The following is a 14,288-nucleotide window of genomic DNA, read 5'->3' on the forward strand; positions in this document are numbered from 1 at the left end:
GCAACTGACTTTGAAATACACCTAAGAAAAGATGGGCTAGGGATGGGCAAAGAATGGCTGCATGGACAGGTATGTGATAAAGCAAATACAATAAAATGTTAGTTGTAGAATCCAGATGATAGACATGTAGGTGTTCAGAATAAAATTAGTATTGTTATTATTATTATTTTGAGACGAAGTCTCACTCTGTCACCCAGGCTGGAGTGCAGTGGCGTGATCTCGGCTCACTGCAACCTCTGCCTCCCGGATTCAAGTGATTCTCCTGCCTCAGCCTCCTGAGTAGCTGGGGTTACAGGAATGCACCACCACGCCCCGCTAATTTTTGTACTTTTAGTAGAGACGGGGTTTCCTCATATTGGCTAGGCTTGTCTCGAACTCCTGACCTCAACTGATCCGCCCGCCTCAGCCTCCCAAAGTGCTGAGATGACAGGTGTGAGCCACCGCGCCTGGCCCAGAATAACATTATTTAAATTTCTTTTTGTATTTGAATTTTTTGGTAATAAGATGTTAGAAAAGGTAAGAATGAGGCAGAGGGGAGAGTTGCACGGCTTGCTCTTTTCACACCCCGTGGCCCCACTCATCACCCCCTCCTGGGGCTCCAGGCTGTGGCCTCACCATAGCAGTGATCTCGTTAAAGGACTGCAGGTTCTCCACGATGCGGGACTTGTGTGCGGGCTCCACGCGGGCGAAGCAGCGGGCGGTGCGGCAGGCCTGGCGCTGCTGCTCGGGGCTGAGGTCATCAAACTCGCGGCCCGTGTAGGCCTTGCCCGCCACGTCTTCCGTGTCCCCAAAGATGCCAAGCCTGCGGCAGATGGCCACGGCAGTGCCTTTGTTATCCCCCGTGATCATGACCACGCGGATGCCCGCCTGGTAGCAGCGTGTGATGCAGGCAGCCACCTCAGGTCGCGGCGGGTCCAGCATGCCTACGCAGCCCACGAAGGTCAGGTCCGTCTGTAGGGAGGGGGCAGATTCAAGCGGGGCCTGAGCCCATCCCTGACCTACCACCTGCTCAGCTGCTGCAGGGAGACTTGGCTCCTGCACCCACCTCGTACTGCAGGGAGAATCGGCTCCTGCACCCACCTCGTACTGCACAAACTTGCTGCAGTCGTCCAGCTCCATGTCCTCCTTCCTTGGGGGCGCGTCCCGGGTGGCCAGTGCCAGGCAGCGCAGCGTGTCTGAGCCTGAGCCCCAATCCCGGATCTTTGCCAGGATCTGCTCCCTGGAGGTGGGGGTCAGGGGTGCTGTGCGGCTCCCCACGCGGACTGAGCTACAGCGCTCGATCACACTCTCAGGAGCCCCCTGCGAGGTGGGGAGAGGGAGAAGAGGTAACTCATCAGTCAGAACCCCTCCTCTCCTTCCTGCCCAAACTCAGGAAACTGAGACTAAGATACGGGCAAAGGCCACCCAAGGGTACACACGCAAGGCAGGGAGCAGAATCCATTCACTGAAAGTTCAGAATGAGAACCAAGTGGGTCCCCCTGTGAGACAATCTAAAGAGAATGGGGGGAGTGTGCTGGGGTGGGGGCAGCCACCAACCTAGCGATGCCCTTCCCCCACCAGCCCACAGCAGACTCGGGCACTGCAGCGTTTTGCAGGCAGGGGTGAGAATGGCATCCCCTGCAGGCCCTGCTTCCCTGGTGCTACTCGGGTTCCAATTTGGTAGGGGCCTCAGCAGCAGGGAGGCAGGCTGAGCCCTGCCTGGGGACCAGAAATAGAGCCATACACAGGGTATGGCGGGCATAGCCCTGGGAAGGGGGTCCAGGGATGACAGGCCCCTCAGTGGCCTCAGGTCTCACCTCAGACCTCACCCCGGGCCTAGGAACAGCCTCTAAAGCTCCTTCAGTGGCTTCTCCTGCTCCTAAAAGGTCACCCAGGCACTGACTTTTCCAAGTGGCCCGAGCTCCCAGTACAGAAGCCTTTTCATTTCAAAAGGGGTTTAAACTTCCCTTGCAGGGTGAAGCTAGAGCTGTATTTCTCTCTTCGGTTTTGGGAGCAGCAACGGAGACGCTGTAGACAGTGGTCTGCAAGGGAGTCGATTCCTTTCCCTCCCTGGGACTCAGTTTCCAAAACACAGAGCACCAAGGGTGGCACCAACCACCCCTACACCACCGGTTAGAGGCAAAAGGGGCTCCTGAGAACTTGTAACCCAACCCTGCCATTCACACGGGAGGACTGGGGCTCACAGAGGAGCGTGGATGACCAGGTTCCCCAGGGCGCGCAGGGGCCCAGGCCAGCCAGGCAGGCCCCCACCTTCACAAACATCTTGCTGCCCTGGCCAGTAGGGTGAGGGCGGGTGGGCGTGCAGTACACGGACATGGATTTCCGGTCTCGGGAGAACTCCAGGGTGAACTCCTTCCGCATCAGCTGCTTGATGACCTGCGGGGTCCAGGCAGGTCAGGGCATGAAGGACAGAGCCAGCAACTCTCGCCTGCCTTCCCACCAACTGCTTGGCCCCAAGAGAGCCTCTTGCTCTGTGTGGGATGACATCTACACTCCTCTGACCCCACCATTCAAGGCCTCCATTTCCCTCTCCAGCCCCAGAAATGGCAATACGATGCCGTTTGCTGACCATGCTGTGTGCAGCCCAACTCCAAACCTTTGCCCACACGCAGCCTTCTCCCCTCTTTTCTCCAAGTCTTACTTCACCGTCAGCCAGGAGCGGTGGCTCACGCCTGTAATCCCAGCACTCTGGGAGGCCAAGGCAGGCAGATTACCTGAGGTCAGGAGTTTCAGACTAGCCCGGACAACATGGTGAAACCCTGTCTCTACTAAAAAATGCAAAAATTAGCCGGGTGTGGTGGCACGCGCCGGGAGGTCGAGGCACGAGAATCACTTGAACCCGGGAGGCAGAGGTTGCAGTGAGCCAGGATTGCACCATTGTACTAAAGCCTGGGCGACAGAATGAGACTCCGTCTCAAAAAAAAAAAAAAACAAAACGAAACAAAACAAAAACTTCAGTGTCCTGTCTGCCTTCTCCAGATGTCCCAGAAGCCCCAGCCATGCAGCCGGAGGCCTGAGCCCCCAGCCCTGCTCACCGTGTTACAGGCGCCAGCTCGCTCCACCCGGGACAGAGCCTGCAGGTCGGTGTCGAACACGTTCATCTTCTCCACCAGGCAAGTCAGAGCTGTCTCCGTGGCCTCTCCCACCTTCTCATACACACCCTTGGCCTGGCAAGGACCCAGGGGATAGGGAGTGAGGGGCAGGCAGCCTCCAGCCCGCATCCCCAGCCTCACTCACTCCTTGCCCCTGCAGCTGCCTTTGCTGGAGTTCCGTGTAACCTCCTTTGCACCGGCCCGTGAGCCCTTCCCAGCCTGGCCGCCCTGGGGTCGGGGTGGTGTCTGACACTGACATTCAGCCCCCCACACTGGCATTGATCGCCACACACCGTCCCTGCCCTCCGCCTGCATCTCTGTCCACTTCCTGTCAGCCTCCTTCACCGGTTTCTGCTGTCTGGGCCCGCTTCCACCCTCCCACCTGCTCTCCCTGGGGCCCTTTGCTGAGCCCCAAGCCCAGATGTCCAGCTGCCTGCTGAACCTTGTTCCCCGGGGACCCCTCAGGCCACCTCTCCCACTCTCTGTATTTGCCACTCCGGCGACAGCCCCAGACAGCACAAGAACCAGGAGCCCCCCTGGCTTCCTCCCTGTCTCTTTCACCTAACCAGTCACCAAGTCCCAGGATTTTTGGCTCCTAAATGTCTCTGACCCATACCTTCTCCCCTCTCCCCAAGGCTCCAGCCAGGGCTCAGCCCGCATCTCTCTGGCCTGAATGACCACATAGGCCTCCCTGGCTTCGGTCCTCTACTGTCTGTCTGGCCTCCACACGGAAGCCTCAGTGATCTTCTGTAAATGCACATCTGACTATGTCACTCTCCTGCTCAAAACTCTTCGTTGGTGCTCTACTGCCCTCAGCTTGGCCTCGGACTGGGTCTGGCCAAGGACCTCCCTTTGGGCAGACGCCTGCTGCATGCCCCATTCCACTGCCCCGGCCACGTGAATGCCTAAGTCGCAGGAGGCTTTAACTGAACGTGGGCCTTTTGTGGGCTGTGTCTTCTGCTTTCAACATTTTCTTGGTCCTGTTCCCCAAATCTCTTCCCCCCACAGGTTTCCCCAGCCCTTCAGCCCCTTCCATGGCAGTCCCCCACAGACCAAGAGCCCCAGGGGGAGGGTTCTGAAGCCTGTCTGCGGAAAGGGAGGGGCGGCAGAGAGGGGTGTGCAGGGGTAACCGTGCTCCCTGGGTGTGGCACTTCCAGGGAGCAAGGGCTGCCAACCCTGGGAGCTTTGAGGCTGGGAAAAGGGTCTGTCCTGGTCGCCTGGATACTAGGGAGGTCATGAAAGGGGGTGAGGCCCACCTCGTTGTAGTCCAGAGCCGAGTCGTTGCACAGGGCGCAGATGGTCGCCAGCTCCACCAGCCCGTCGAACTGGCCGCAGCGCACAGGCTGATCCCCCTGCCGCCTGCGGAGCCGGGGCGGTCACCAGGAGGACCTCGGCTCCGCCCCCGAGAGGGGTCCGCCTCTTGGCCCCGCCCCTAGGAGGGGGCTCCGCCTCTTGGCCCCGCCCCCAGAAGGGCTCCGCCTCCTGGCCCCGCCCCGGGAGAGGCTCCGCCTCCTGGCCCGCCCCCAGGGGCCTCCCACGGCCACCTCGGCGCCGCCACGCGTGGCCCCGCCCCCAGGCCGCCCGCCCGCGCGTCCCCTGGCCCCGCACTCACACTTCGCCCTCGGGGGTATACGTGGTACCCGAGATGGTGAACTCGTGCAAAAGGCAGGAGCCCGCATCGGCCTCGGCTACCACGAACATCTGGGGAGCGCAGGGGCGTGCTTAGGCGGGCGGGGTCGCCTCCCTCCTCCCCGGGCGGCCAGTCGACCCCAGGGTGGGGTCCTGCAGGCCCCCTGCCCGACCGAGGGCCAAACCGGCCTGGCCGTCCGTGCCCACCAGGAGGGAAATAGAACGCAGGGTCCAGGCTGAGGCAGGGACCGTCTGCTCTGCCAGATGTGTCCGGCTCCGGTTTGTCCCAATGTCCTGGACTTCTGAGGGATTTATGGCAGATTCTTCAGTGCTCTGGGGGCAGTTGCCAGCTTGAGGGAGCCCTGAGCTAGGCAGAAAGCCTGGGTCCTTGCCCATCTCACTGTGCGATCCCTGGCCAAGTAGCTGAGCCTCAGTTTCTCCACTAGTAACATGGGAACCGCCCCCTCCTTTGCCTTCAAGGAAATGAGTTCCTGGCCTTCAAGGGAGGAAACCCACACGCCTCTCTGGGGCACAGACCCCTCTAGCCCAGAGATGTCCCCAGAGAGTGAGCCCCTGCCACAGGGCCTGCTGGGTCACTCAGCCCCCACCTGTGCACCTCAGGAACAGGAGGCTTACCTGGCCCAGCATGCCTATTTCTTTGTCTGTTCAGCCAGCTCTGCTGGGGAGACAGTTCTTGCTTCGTGGACATGGCCTCACCGCACATTCTCAAGCAAATGGCCAGCCCAGCGCCCAGTAGATGCATAAGTGTCCCTTCCTTCCCGCTCTCCTCCCTACTCCTGGGGGCAGTCACCCAGCAAGCACAGCCCAGCATCCAGCACGTAAGGCCCCTACAACTTCCCCACACTGCACTTTAAAACTCTTTATTATTAGCTGGGCCCAGTGGCTCACGCCTGTAATCCCAGCACTTTGGGAGGCCGAGGCGGGTGGATCACGAGGTCAAGCTTGATTGAGACCATCCTGGCTAACATGGTGAAACCCCATCTCTACTAAAACTACAAAAACTAGCTGGGTGTGGTGGCACGCGCCTGTAGTCCTAGCTACTCGGGTGGCTGAAGCAAGAGAATCGCCTGAACCCAGAAGGCGGAGGTTGCAGCCAAGATCGTGCCACTGCACTCCAGTCTGGCAACAGAGTGAGACTCCATCTCAAAAAAAAAAAAAAAAAAATTTATTAGGGCCGGGCACGGTGGCTCAGGGCTGAAATCCCTGCACTTTGGGAGGCCAAGGCGGGTGGATCACTTGAGGTCAGGAGTTATAGACCAGCCTGGCCAACATGGTGAAACCCCGTCTCTACTAAAATACAAAAATTAGCTGGGTGTGGTGGTGCATGCCTGTCTGTAGTCCCAGCTACCTGGGAGGCTGAGGCAGGAGAATCGCTTGAACCTGGGAGGCAGAGGTTGCAGTGAGCTCAGATCATGCCACTGCACTTCAGCCTAGACAACAAACAGAATGAGACTCTGCCTCAAAAAAAAAAATCGCTATTAGTCAAGAAACACTCTGTTTAAATAAAATCCTATGAGGGCTTTTAGCAGGACAGTAAAGCTCGGTAGCACCCCTCCCCTAAAGCAGCCTTTGATGGGCTCCCAGAAGGCCTTAGGGTCTCAGAATACAGAGCCTGGGTTTCCAAGCCCAGTGGGCAGATGTGGAAGCAGGGGTGACAGAGAGGCACTGGGGACCTGGGAAGGGTGGGGAACACATAGCCTTCACCATCTCCCCACCCACCCATCTGCTGGGTCAGGAGGAGCCTTCTGCCCCATGGGCCTGCTGAAGTCTCAGCCAGAATCCCTTGGCCGTGTGGGCAGTGAGCCCAGGATGTGGGATGAAGTGCAGGGAATGAATAATTCCTGCCCTGGCCCTTCCCAGGTTACCGGAGCTGGCTTATCTGGTGACAGGTGTCGACTGCACAGAGTCATGATGGGGCAGGATGGAACCCGGATCCAGGCCCAGCTTGGCCCCTATGCCAAGGCTGAACTTGAGCCTCTCCTATGTCCTTTACGTTTACCTAGCAGGGCTCACACAGCCAGGCTTCCAATGAGGAGACTGAGGTTAACAGACTGTCAGCAACCTGGCCAGGGCCCCACAGTGACACACAGGCCTCAGTGACATGTGGCTACCCAGGCATGATTTGCTATAGTCTCCCTGTCATCTTGTGAAAACCTGGACCTGCTCTGGGCCAAGGGACAGCCCACAGATTCTCTCCTCCATCCCTCACTGAAAAGGAGGTGGGGGAGAGACCCAGAGAGGGAGCCCAGCCTGCTCTGCAACGCACAGCAACACCAAGCTGGCCGTCACTCACCCGGCAGACAGACATCTGATTGGTGGTGAGCGTGCCCGTCTTGTCGGAGCAGATGACTGAGGTGCAGCCCAGGGTCTCCACGGACGGCAGGCTTCGCACGATGGCGTTCTTGCGTGCCATGCGCCGCGTGCCCAGTGCCAGGCATGTAGTGATGACAGCCGGGAGGCCCTCGGGGATGGCCGCCACCGCCAGGGCCACGGCGATCTTGAAGTAGTAGACAGCGCCACGCAGCCAGGAGCCACCGTGGGCCGGGTCGGCGAAGTGGCCGATGTTGATGACCCACACGGCCACGCAGATCACAGAGATGGCGTGGGACAGCTGCCGTCCAAACTCGTCCAGCTTGCGCTGCAGCGGCGTCCGCTCGGGCTCGACTGCCGCCATCTGGCTCCGGATCTTGCCCAGCTCCGTGTGCAGGCCGGTGGCCACGGCCACACCCACCGCTTTGCCCGATGTGATATTGGTGCCCTGGCCAGGGGAGGGACAAGGAAAAAGCTGCTCAGCAGCCAACCAGGGGCCCAGGACCCCTGACTCCTTCAGGCCGGAATAAGGCACTTATCCTTCTACCCGGCTTTCCTTTTCTCCATGTTGCTAGTGCTTCCAGACTCCTGTAGCTATGTATGCACGGGGTCCCTGCTGCCTTCCCATGAGAGTGTCAGCTCTAGGAAGGCAGGGTTTGGGTTCATCGCCGTATCCCCAGTGCCTAGCACGGGGCCGGGCACAGAGGAGGCACGGGGGCTGATATTGATGATATAATCAACCAGCGCAGCACAAGCATCAACCCCACAAAATGTGATTTCGTAAACAATCACTATAGCCACACAGGAGCATAGCTGACTACGAACCCAATAAACAGTCCATTAATATTTACTAAAAAATCCAGAAAACCTGAGCCTCAGCTCATCCATTTCCAAGGCTCCAGTAAAATCCCCAATTCCTAGCATAAGGGACAGCCAGCCTTGTGGCTTGGTGTCCTCTTCTGTAAAGTGGTCCAACACAGGCCCAAGATAGTTTTTCTGAGGAGGCTAAGAACCTGGTGCCCCTTCAAATGCATATGCTGTTGGGGCTGGCGAGAAGGCAGGCCCCAGCCTCTCTTCTGTCTTAAGCAACGTAGCTCCAGCCCCCAACATGCAGGGCCCAGCCAGACACCTTCCTCCAAAGCTTCTTTTTATTATTACTTTAGAAAATTGTTTTGTTTAATTTTGAATTTTAGTAGAAACGAGGTCTCACTATGTTGCTCAGGCTGGTCTCAAACTCCTGAGCTCAAATGATCCTCCTGCTTTGGCCTCCCAAAGTGCTGGGATTATAGGCATGAGCTACCATGCCCGGCCCCTCCAAAGCTTCTTAGTGACAGCTGCTGATCCTGGAGCAACAGCTCTCAGAGCTTCCCTCCCCACCCCAAGGCATCCTGTCCAAGGCTTCTATGCAGCTAGGTAGGCCCCTCTCAAGAAGAGTTCTGGGCCAGGTGCAGTGGCTCACACCTGTAATCTCAGAACTTTGGGAGGCCAAGGCGGGCAGATCACCTGAGGTCAGGAGTTTGGGACCAGCCTGGCCAACATGGTGAAACCCCGTCTCTAGTAAAATACAAAAATTAGCTGGGCACGGTGGTGTGTGCTTGTAATCCCACCTGCTTGGGAGGCTGAGGCAGGAGAATCGCTTGAACTCGGGAGGCGGAAGTTGCAGTGAGCTGAGATTGTGCCACTGCACTCCAGCATGGGTGACAGAGTGAGACTCTGTCTCAAAAAAAAAAAAAAAAAAAAAAAAAAGGAGTTCTGGGTGAGTTTCACTTTCTTCATCCCTCTTCCCTTCCAGGAAGTTTTCTATCCCCCGATAACTTGGTGGCCTGGGCCATTGTCTGACTGGCCTGACCCTTCCTTGTGCCCCTAAACGCTCCTTGCTGGCCTCAGGCTACTGCGGGGCAGCTGTGAGTATCACTTGCTAGCTTTCTCTGAGGCCACAGAGGCAGGTCTCTCCCGCCAAAGCTGAACCCATCACTATCCCTGAGAAGAGCCAGGTAGACCGGGCATCATGCCTTGTGGGTCAGTTTTCCTGTCGGAGAATGGAGTATCCCCCACCATCCTCCACCATTTTGGCAGACCTCCTTCCTCTAGAGCATTTCTATCGAGTGATTATAGGGAGGCTCTGCCCTTCTCCAGGGGAAGGCAGGGTCTCCCAGCAGAAATCCAGGATGTCTGAGTTCGTCCCAGCTGTGCCACTCATTGGCTGTGTGACCTTGGGAAACTTACTTAATCTCTCTGTGCTTGTTTCTTTCCTTGCTGGAAAATATAGATAACAAGCATAACAAGAGTACTTATTTCAAAGATTTGGTGTTAAGGATTAAATAAACTAGTATGTGTAAAGAGCTTAGAACAGTGCCAGGCACACAGTCCCCAGTAAACACAAGCTATTATTATTACTATAAATTTGCATGTATTGTCAAGAATCGATGAGGTTCTTCCCCGTAGGACTTTAGCTGATTAACCTTAATGTTGGGCCAGGTGCAGTGGCTCATGCTTATAATCCTAGCACTTTGGGAGGCCAAGGTGGGCGGATCACTTGAGGTCAGGAGTTCGAGACCAGCCTGGTGAACGTGGTGAAACCTTGTTGCTACTAAAAATACAAAAATTAGCCGGGTGTGGTGGCAGGTGCCTGTAGTCCCAGCTACTTGGGAAGCTGAGGCACAAGAGTAGCTTGAACCTGGGGGGCGGGGGTTGCAGTGACCCGAGATCGTACCACTGCACTCCAGCATGGGCAACAGGGCCAGAAAAAAAAATATTTTTTTTTTTTTTTTGAGACAGAGTTTTGCTCTCGTCACCCAGGCTGGAGTGCAGTGGCACAATCTTGGCTCACTGCAACCTCCGCCTCCCGGGCTCAAGTGACTCTCCTGCCTCAGCCTCCCAAGTTGCTGGGATTACAGGCACACGCCACCACCCCCAGCTAATCTTTTTGTATTTTTAGTAGAGACGGGGTTTCACCATGTTGGCCAGGCTGGTCTCGAACTCCTGACCTCAGGTGATCCACCCACCTCAGCCTCCCAAAGTGCTGGGATTACAGGCGTGATCATAATCCTAATGTTGTTATTTTTATCATTGTCTGGGCAAAGGCCCCAGACATTTGACTTACAGAAAACAGCATGTTCTTCTTGTCCTGGTTCACAGCTCTGGGGTCTGGGATGGCCTCTGTGTGCTTGGTCACGGACACAGATTCACCTGGTCAGGGAATCAGAGATGAGAAGCCCCACATGAAGACACGCCCATCCCTTAGTCCTGGCCCACTAGGTCCCGGCCTCCTGGGGGGGGCCTCACCCGTCAGGATGGACTGGTCCACTCGCAGCGTGGTGGACTTGATCTCGATGAGGCGGAGGTCAGCAGGCACTTTGTCCCCCACTGTGCGGGGAGAATGGCTTGGCTGAGGGTGGCTTTGGGCACCACCAGCTGGGAAAAGCCAGAAGGGTTCCCAGAACCCAAGGCTGGGGCTGGGCGTCGGGTGCCTGAGCTGTGATCGCTCTGGTGACCCCTGCCCCTCTGGCCCACAGTCTCATCTGTCCAACAGGGTTTTGGCCAAAGGGCTTTGGAGGGATCCGACAGCCACCCCCTCTGTATATACGGCCGGAATGACGGAGGCACAGAGAGGGATGGGGCTCCCAGGCCCACATAATAAAAGGAGGAGGCCCCTACAGAAGCCTGAGACAGGAGGATTGCTTGAACCCGGGAGGCAGGAGGTTGCAGTGAGCCGAGATTGCGCCACTGCACTCCAGTCTGGGCAACAGAGCACGACTCCATCTCAAAAAATAAATAAATAAATAAATAAAATAAATAAATAAATAAAATAAAATAAAATAAAAGGAGGAGGCCCCGGCATACCTGCCACTTCTACAATGTCCCCTGGGACGATGTCCCGGGCACGGATCCTCTGCACGCCCTTGCGGTCCGAGCGGATCACCTTGCCCATCTCAGGCTCATACTCCTTCAGGGCCTCGATGGCACTCTCGGCGTTGCGTTCCTGCAGAATAGAAGGCCGGCAGGCAGTCTGTCCCTGCTGCCCCCCGCAGACCACCCCCTTGGAGTGACTCCTCTGGGGCCTGGGATGGAGGTGGAAGCAGGAGAGTCTGCAGGACGCCAGCACCAGGTGGAGGGCACTCCTAGTGGCTGGGAGACCGCCCCCCGCCCGGTCCCACCCCCAGTGCCTCCCACCTGCCACACGCCCACAATGGCGTTGGCCACGAGGATCAGCATGATGACCAGGGGCTCCACGAAGGCGGTCGTGGTCTCCTCGCCCTCCTCGAACCAGGCCAGGACCTGCAGGATCACAGCTGGTGAGCTCAGGCCCTGCTGCGGGCCGAGATCTGCTCTCCTTTTCCTTGGCACCCCGGATCTCCTGCTTGCTTCCCTGCTTTGGGGAGATAGCACTGGGGAGCTCTTGGCTTGGAGAGGGCCACTCCTCCGAGAAGGCCTTGGCACAGGGTGCCCACCCCACAGGAGTGACCACCCCACCCAGGCCAACCTTCAAGGCTGTGGGGCAGTTGGATGGCTGCCCACCGAGGCCTTACTGTCTGCCTGGAGCAGAGCATCTCAGTGTGGTCCCCAGACCAGCAGCAGCAGCAGCTGGGAACTTGTAAGAAATGTTGATCTTGGGGTCCCTCCCAGACCTCCTGAGTCGTAAATTCTGGGGTGGGGCCCAGTCACCTGTGTGTCGGCAAGCCTACGGATTCTTTTGAGACAGAGTCTTGCTCTGTCGCCCAGGCTGGAGTGCGGTGGCTGGATCTTGGCTCACTGCAACCTTTGCCTCCCAGGTTCAAGCAATTCTCATGCCTCAGCCTCCCGGGTAGATGGGATTACAGGCGTGCACCACCACGCCTGGCTAATTTTTCGTATTTTAGTAGAGACGGGGTTTTACCACGTTGCCCAGGCTGAACTCCTGAGCTCACCCGCCTCGGCCTGCCAAAGTGCTAGGATTACAGGCATGCGCCACTGCGCCCAGCCAAGCCCAGGTGATTCTGATGCACGCATCCAAAGCCCATTAGCCAGGGGAGCATCAGTGGGAATGGAGGAACAGCAAGGAGATGCGGCAGCCAAGAGGAGGCTGCAAGAGGTTCAGACCCCAAAATCCATGTGGGGGACACTGGGATCCACGGAAGGGGCTCCGGCAGCAGCACTCAGCCAGGGACAAGGTGCCCCCCAGGGGCATTTGGCAATGTCCGAAGACATTTTTAATTTTTTTGAGACAGGGTCTTGCTTTGTTGCCCAGGCTGGAATGCAGTGGTGTGATCACGGCTCACTGCAGCTCCATCCTCCTGGGCCCAAGCAATTCTCCTGCCTCAGCCTCCAGAGTGGCTGGGACTATAGGCCTGCACCACCGCACTCGGCTAATGTTTTTGTATTTTTTGTAGAGACAGGGTCTCCCTATGTTGCCCATGCTGGTCTCAAACTCCTGGGCTCAAGCGATTTTATTGCCTTGGCCTCCCACAGTGCTGGGATTTCAATCATGAGCTGTCAGGCCCAGCTGTCTAAAGACATTTTTGATGGTCATCCCCGGGAGGTGCTACTGGCATCTTGTGGGTAGAGTCCAGGTATGCTGCTGAACATCCTACAGTGGAAAGCCCCCACCCCCACCCCGACAAAGAATGATCTGGTCTAAACTATCAGTAGTGCTGAGGCAGAGAAACCCTAGGGTACAGCAGGGCGGGGCGGGGGGCAGATGTGAGTTGGGGAGCTCGCTGAGAGCCAGAGGATAAGATGGATTGGAGGGGTCAGGTGGGAGCCGGGGACCCAATGTAGGGGCCATGAGGGTTCAGGCAAGGGAAGCTGAAGTCTGAGCAGGGCAGGGCCAGGGAAGGCCAGGGCGCAGGCCCAGGGTGTGGAGGACAGGCCCAGGCTCCAGGACCTCGGAGCACTGCCCAGCCTGGCTCTCCCTCCAGGGCTACCGACTACCACAGGATGGCTGGCAGGGCCCTACTTACAAAGGAGACAAGGGCAGCCAGCAGCAGGATGCGCACCAGGAGGTCCTCAAACTGTTCCAGCACCAGCTCCCACAGGGACTTCCCTGGGAACGGGGGTCATGTGTGAGGCTGGGCCCCCACCACTGACCCTGCCCACTCAGAGCTGGGATGGCCCGGGAGACCTCCCGGCCCATTCCCTCCCTGCACTCAGAAGAGGGAGAACCCAGGTCGCTGAGAGGCTCAGGTGGGTGATCCTGGGGAGCTCAGCAAGGCCTCACTCAGCGGGGAGAAGGAAGTCATGACCAGACAGAGAACGACCCAGGGATGCTGCCCGCGGCCTAGAGGTCCATCCCGGTGCCAGCCTCACCTTCCTCACTCGGGAGCTCTGCAGGATCCAGGCAGCCACGGGAGCCATGAGGAGACAAGAGAGGAGTGGGTCACGCAGGGGCCTCGGGGGAGTCTGGCAGTGCCTCCCCACCGTGCCCGCCCAGACCCCCACCACGGACTGGATGTATCCCCAGGGCTCTCTGAGGCCACAGGATAAATGGTTTGAGCCCAAATGCTTCCACCCCTCTACCCTCCCCCGACTCAGATTGAGGAAGATCTAGGGTGACTTGGCTCATCGTGGGATGAGTACGGAGCCAAGAGGGTCCTTCCAGCCCCTCCAGTCCAGCCCCTCCCTGCCCCACTTCACAGAAGGGAAACTGAGGCCTAGAAAACAGACACTTCCCCCACCCAGGTCACACGGAGAGTGGGCTGTTCTCACGGCTCCCTGCATAGCCCTTCCTTAGATGGCCGCAGAGTCCTGTTGAGTCTCTGCCACCCCCACAGCAAGGCAGCCCCTCCCTCAAATGGAGAACACCAGCTCAGGCGCCTTCCGCTCACCCTGCCTCTAACATCCCTGCTCCCCTGGGACCAGCTGGACAAGGTCTGCAGCTGGGCCGGCCTGCTGGGCCCCACCGCACAGCAGGGCTCCCCTGGACAGGACCCCAGCAGCCAGCACCCCGCAGTGAGGATCCCTCCCATGGTGCAGTCCCCCCCAGGCCCTGCACTCCATCGAGCTCAGTGAAGACCCCCCAGCCCCGCCCCACATACCCAGTCGCCCCCCACACAACATGGTGAAGAACACTGTTTCCAAACTCTAACAGCACCCACCTCAATTGAGGTGCTGATTTTTTTTTTTTTTTTTTTAAGAGAGTCTCGCTCTGTCGCCCAGGCCAGAGTGCAGTGGCGCAATCTTGGCTCACTGCAACCTCCACCTCCCGGGTTCAAGCGATTCTCCTGCCTTAGCCTCCTGAGTAGCTGGGATTACAGGCAC

General features: G+C 58.0%; 1 protein-coding gene across 18 annotated transcripts in view, besides 3 other annotated features; it reads right to left on the reverse strand.

Moving 5' to 3' along the window:
• The window catches only part of ATP2A3 (ATPase sarcoplasmic/endoplasmic reticulum Ca2+ transporting 3), a 40,565-nt gene that overhangs the window by 16,483 nt on the left and 9,794 nt on the right, over positions 1-14,288 (reverse strand). For 17 of the 18 annotated variants that reach the window (XM_047436153.1, NM_174957.3, NM_005173.4 and 14 more), the window contains exons 2-14: positions 13,338-13,355; positions 12,992-13,074; positions 11,226-11,330; positions 10,896-11,034; positions 10,338-10,418; positions 10,156-10,241; positions 7,036-7,500; positions 4,705-4,793; positions 4,349-4,451; positions 3,036-3,167; positions 2,251-2,376; positions 1,081-1,299; positions 616-951 (exon numbers count right to left, since the gene is read on the reverse strand). In XM_047436153.1, the coding sequence (XP_047292109.1) occupies positions 616-951; positions 1,081-1,299; positions 2,251-2,376; positions 3,036-3,167; positions 4,349-4,451; positions 4,705-4,793; positions 7,036-7,500; positions 10,156-10,241; positions 10,338-10,418; positions 10,896-11,034; positions 11,226-11,330; positions 12,992-13,074; positions 13,338-13,355 (1,982 nt within the window). Of the gene's footprint in view, positions 1-615; positions 952-1,080; positions 1,300-2,183; positions 2,377-3,035; positions 3,168-4,348; positions 4,452-4,704; positions 4,794-7,035; positions 7,501-10,155; positions 10,242-10,337; positions 10,419-10,895; positions 11,035-11,225; positions 11,331-12,991; positions 13,075-13,337; positions 13,356-14,288 lie in introns of those variants that run through there. The other variant, XM_011523892.3, reaches the window with a different exon arrangement.
• Positions 750-1,249: an enhancer, noted in NCBI's record as "H3K4me1 hESC enhancer chr17:3844399-3844898 (GRCh37/hg19 assembly coordinates)". NCBI's record gives its function as "activates a minimal SCP1, AML or CMV promoter by ChIP-STARR-seq in primed H9 embryonic stem cells {active_cell/tissue: H9 hESC(primed)}" and the evidence as "EXISTENCE:reporter gene assay evidence [ECO:0000049][PMID:30033119]".
• Positions 4,483-4,642: a silencer, noted in NCBI's record as "silent region_8025". NCBI's record gives its function as "represses an Ori minimal core promoter by ATAC-STARR-seq in GM12878 lymphoblastoid cells {active_cell/tissue: GM12878}" and the evidence as "EXISTENCE:reporter gene assay evidence [ECO:0000049][PMID:35858748]".
• Positions 12,618-13,466: an enhancer, noted in NCBI's record as "H3K4me1 hESC enhancer chr17:3856267-3857115 (GRCh37/hg19 assembly coordinates)". NCBI's record gives its function as "activates a minimal SCP1, AML or CMV promoter by ChIP-STARR-seq in naive H9 embryonic stem cells {active_cell/tissue: H9 hESC(naive)}" and the evidence as "EXISTENCE:reporter gene assay evidence [ECO:0000049][PMID:30033119]".

This window comes from Homo sapiens, chromosome 17 (genome assembly GCF_000001405.40).
Source record: "Homo sapiens chromosome 17, GRCh38.p14 Primary Assembly".
NCBI lineage: Eukaryota > Metazoa > Chordata > Mammalia > Primates > Hominidae > Homo > Homo sapiens.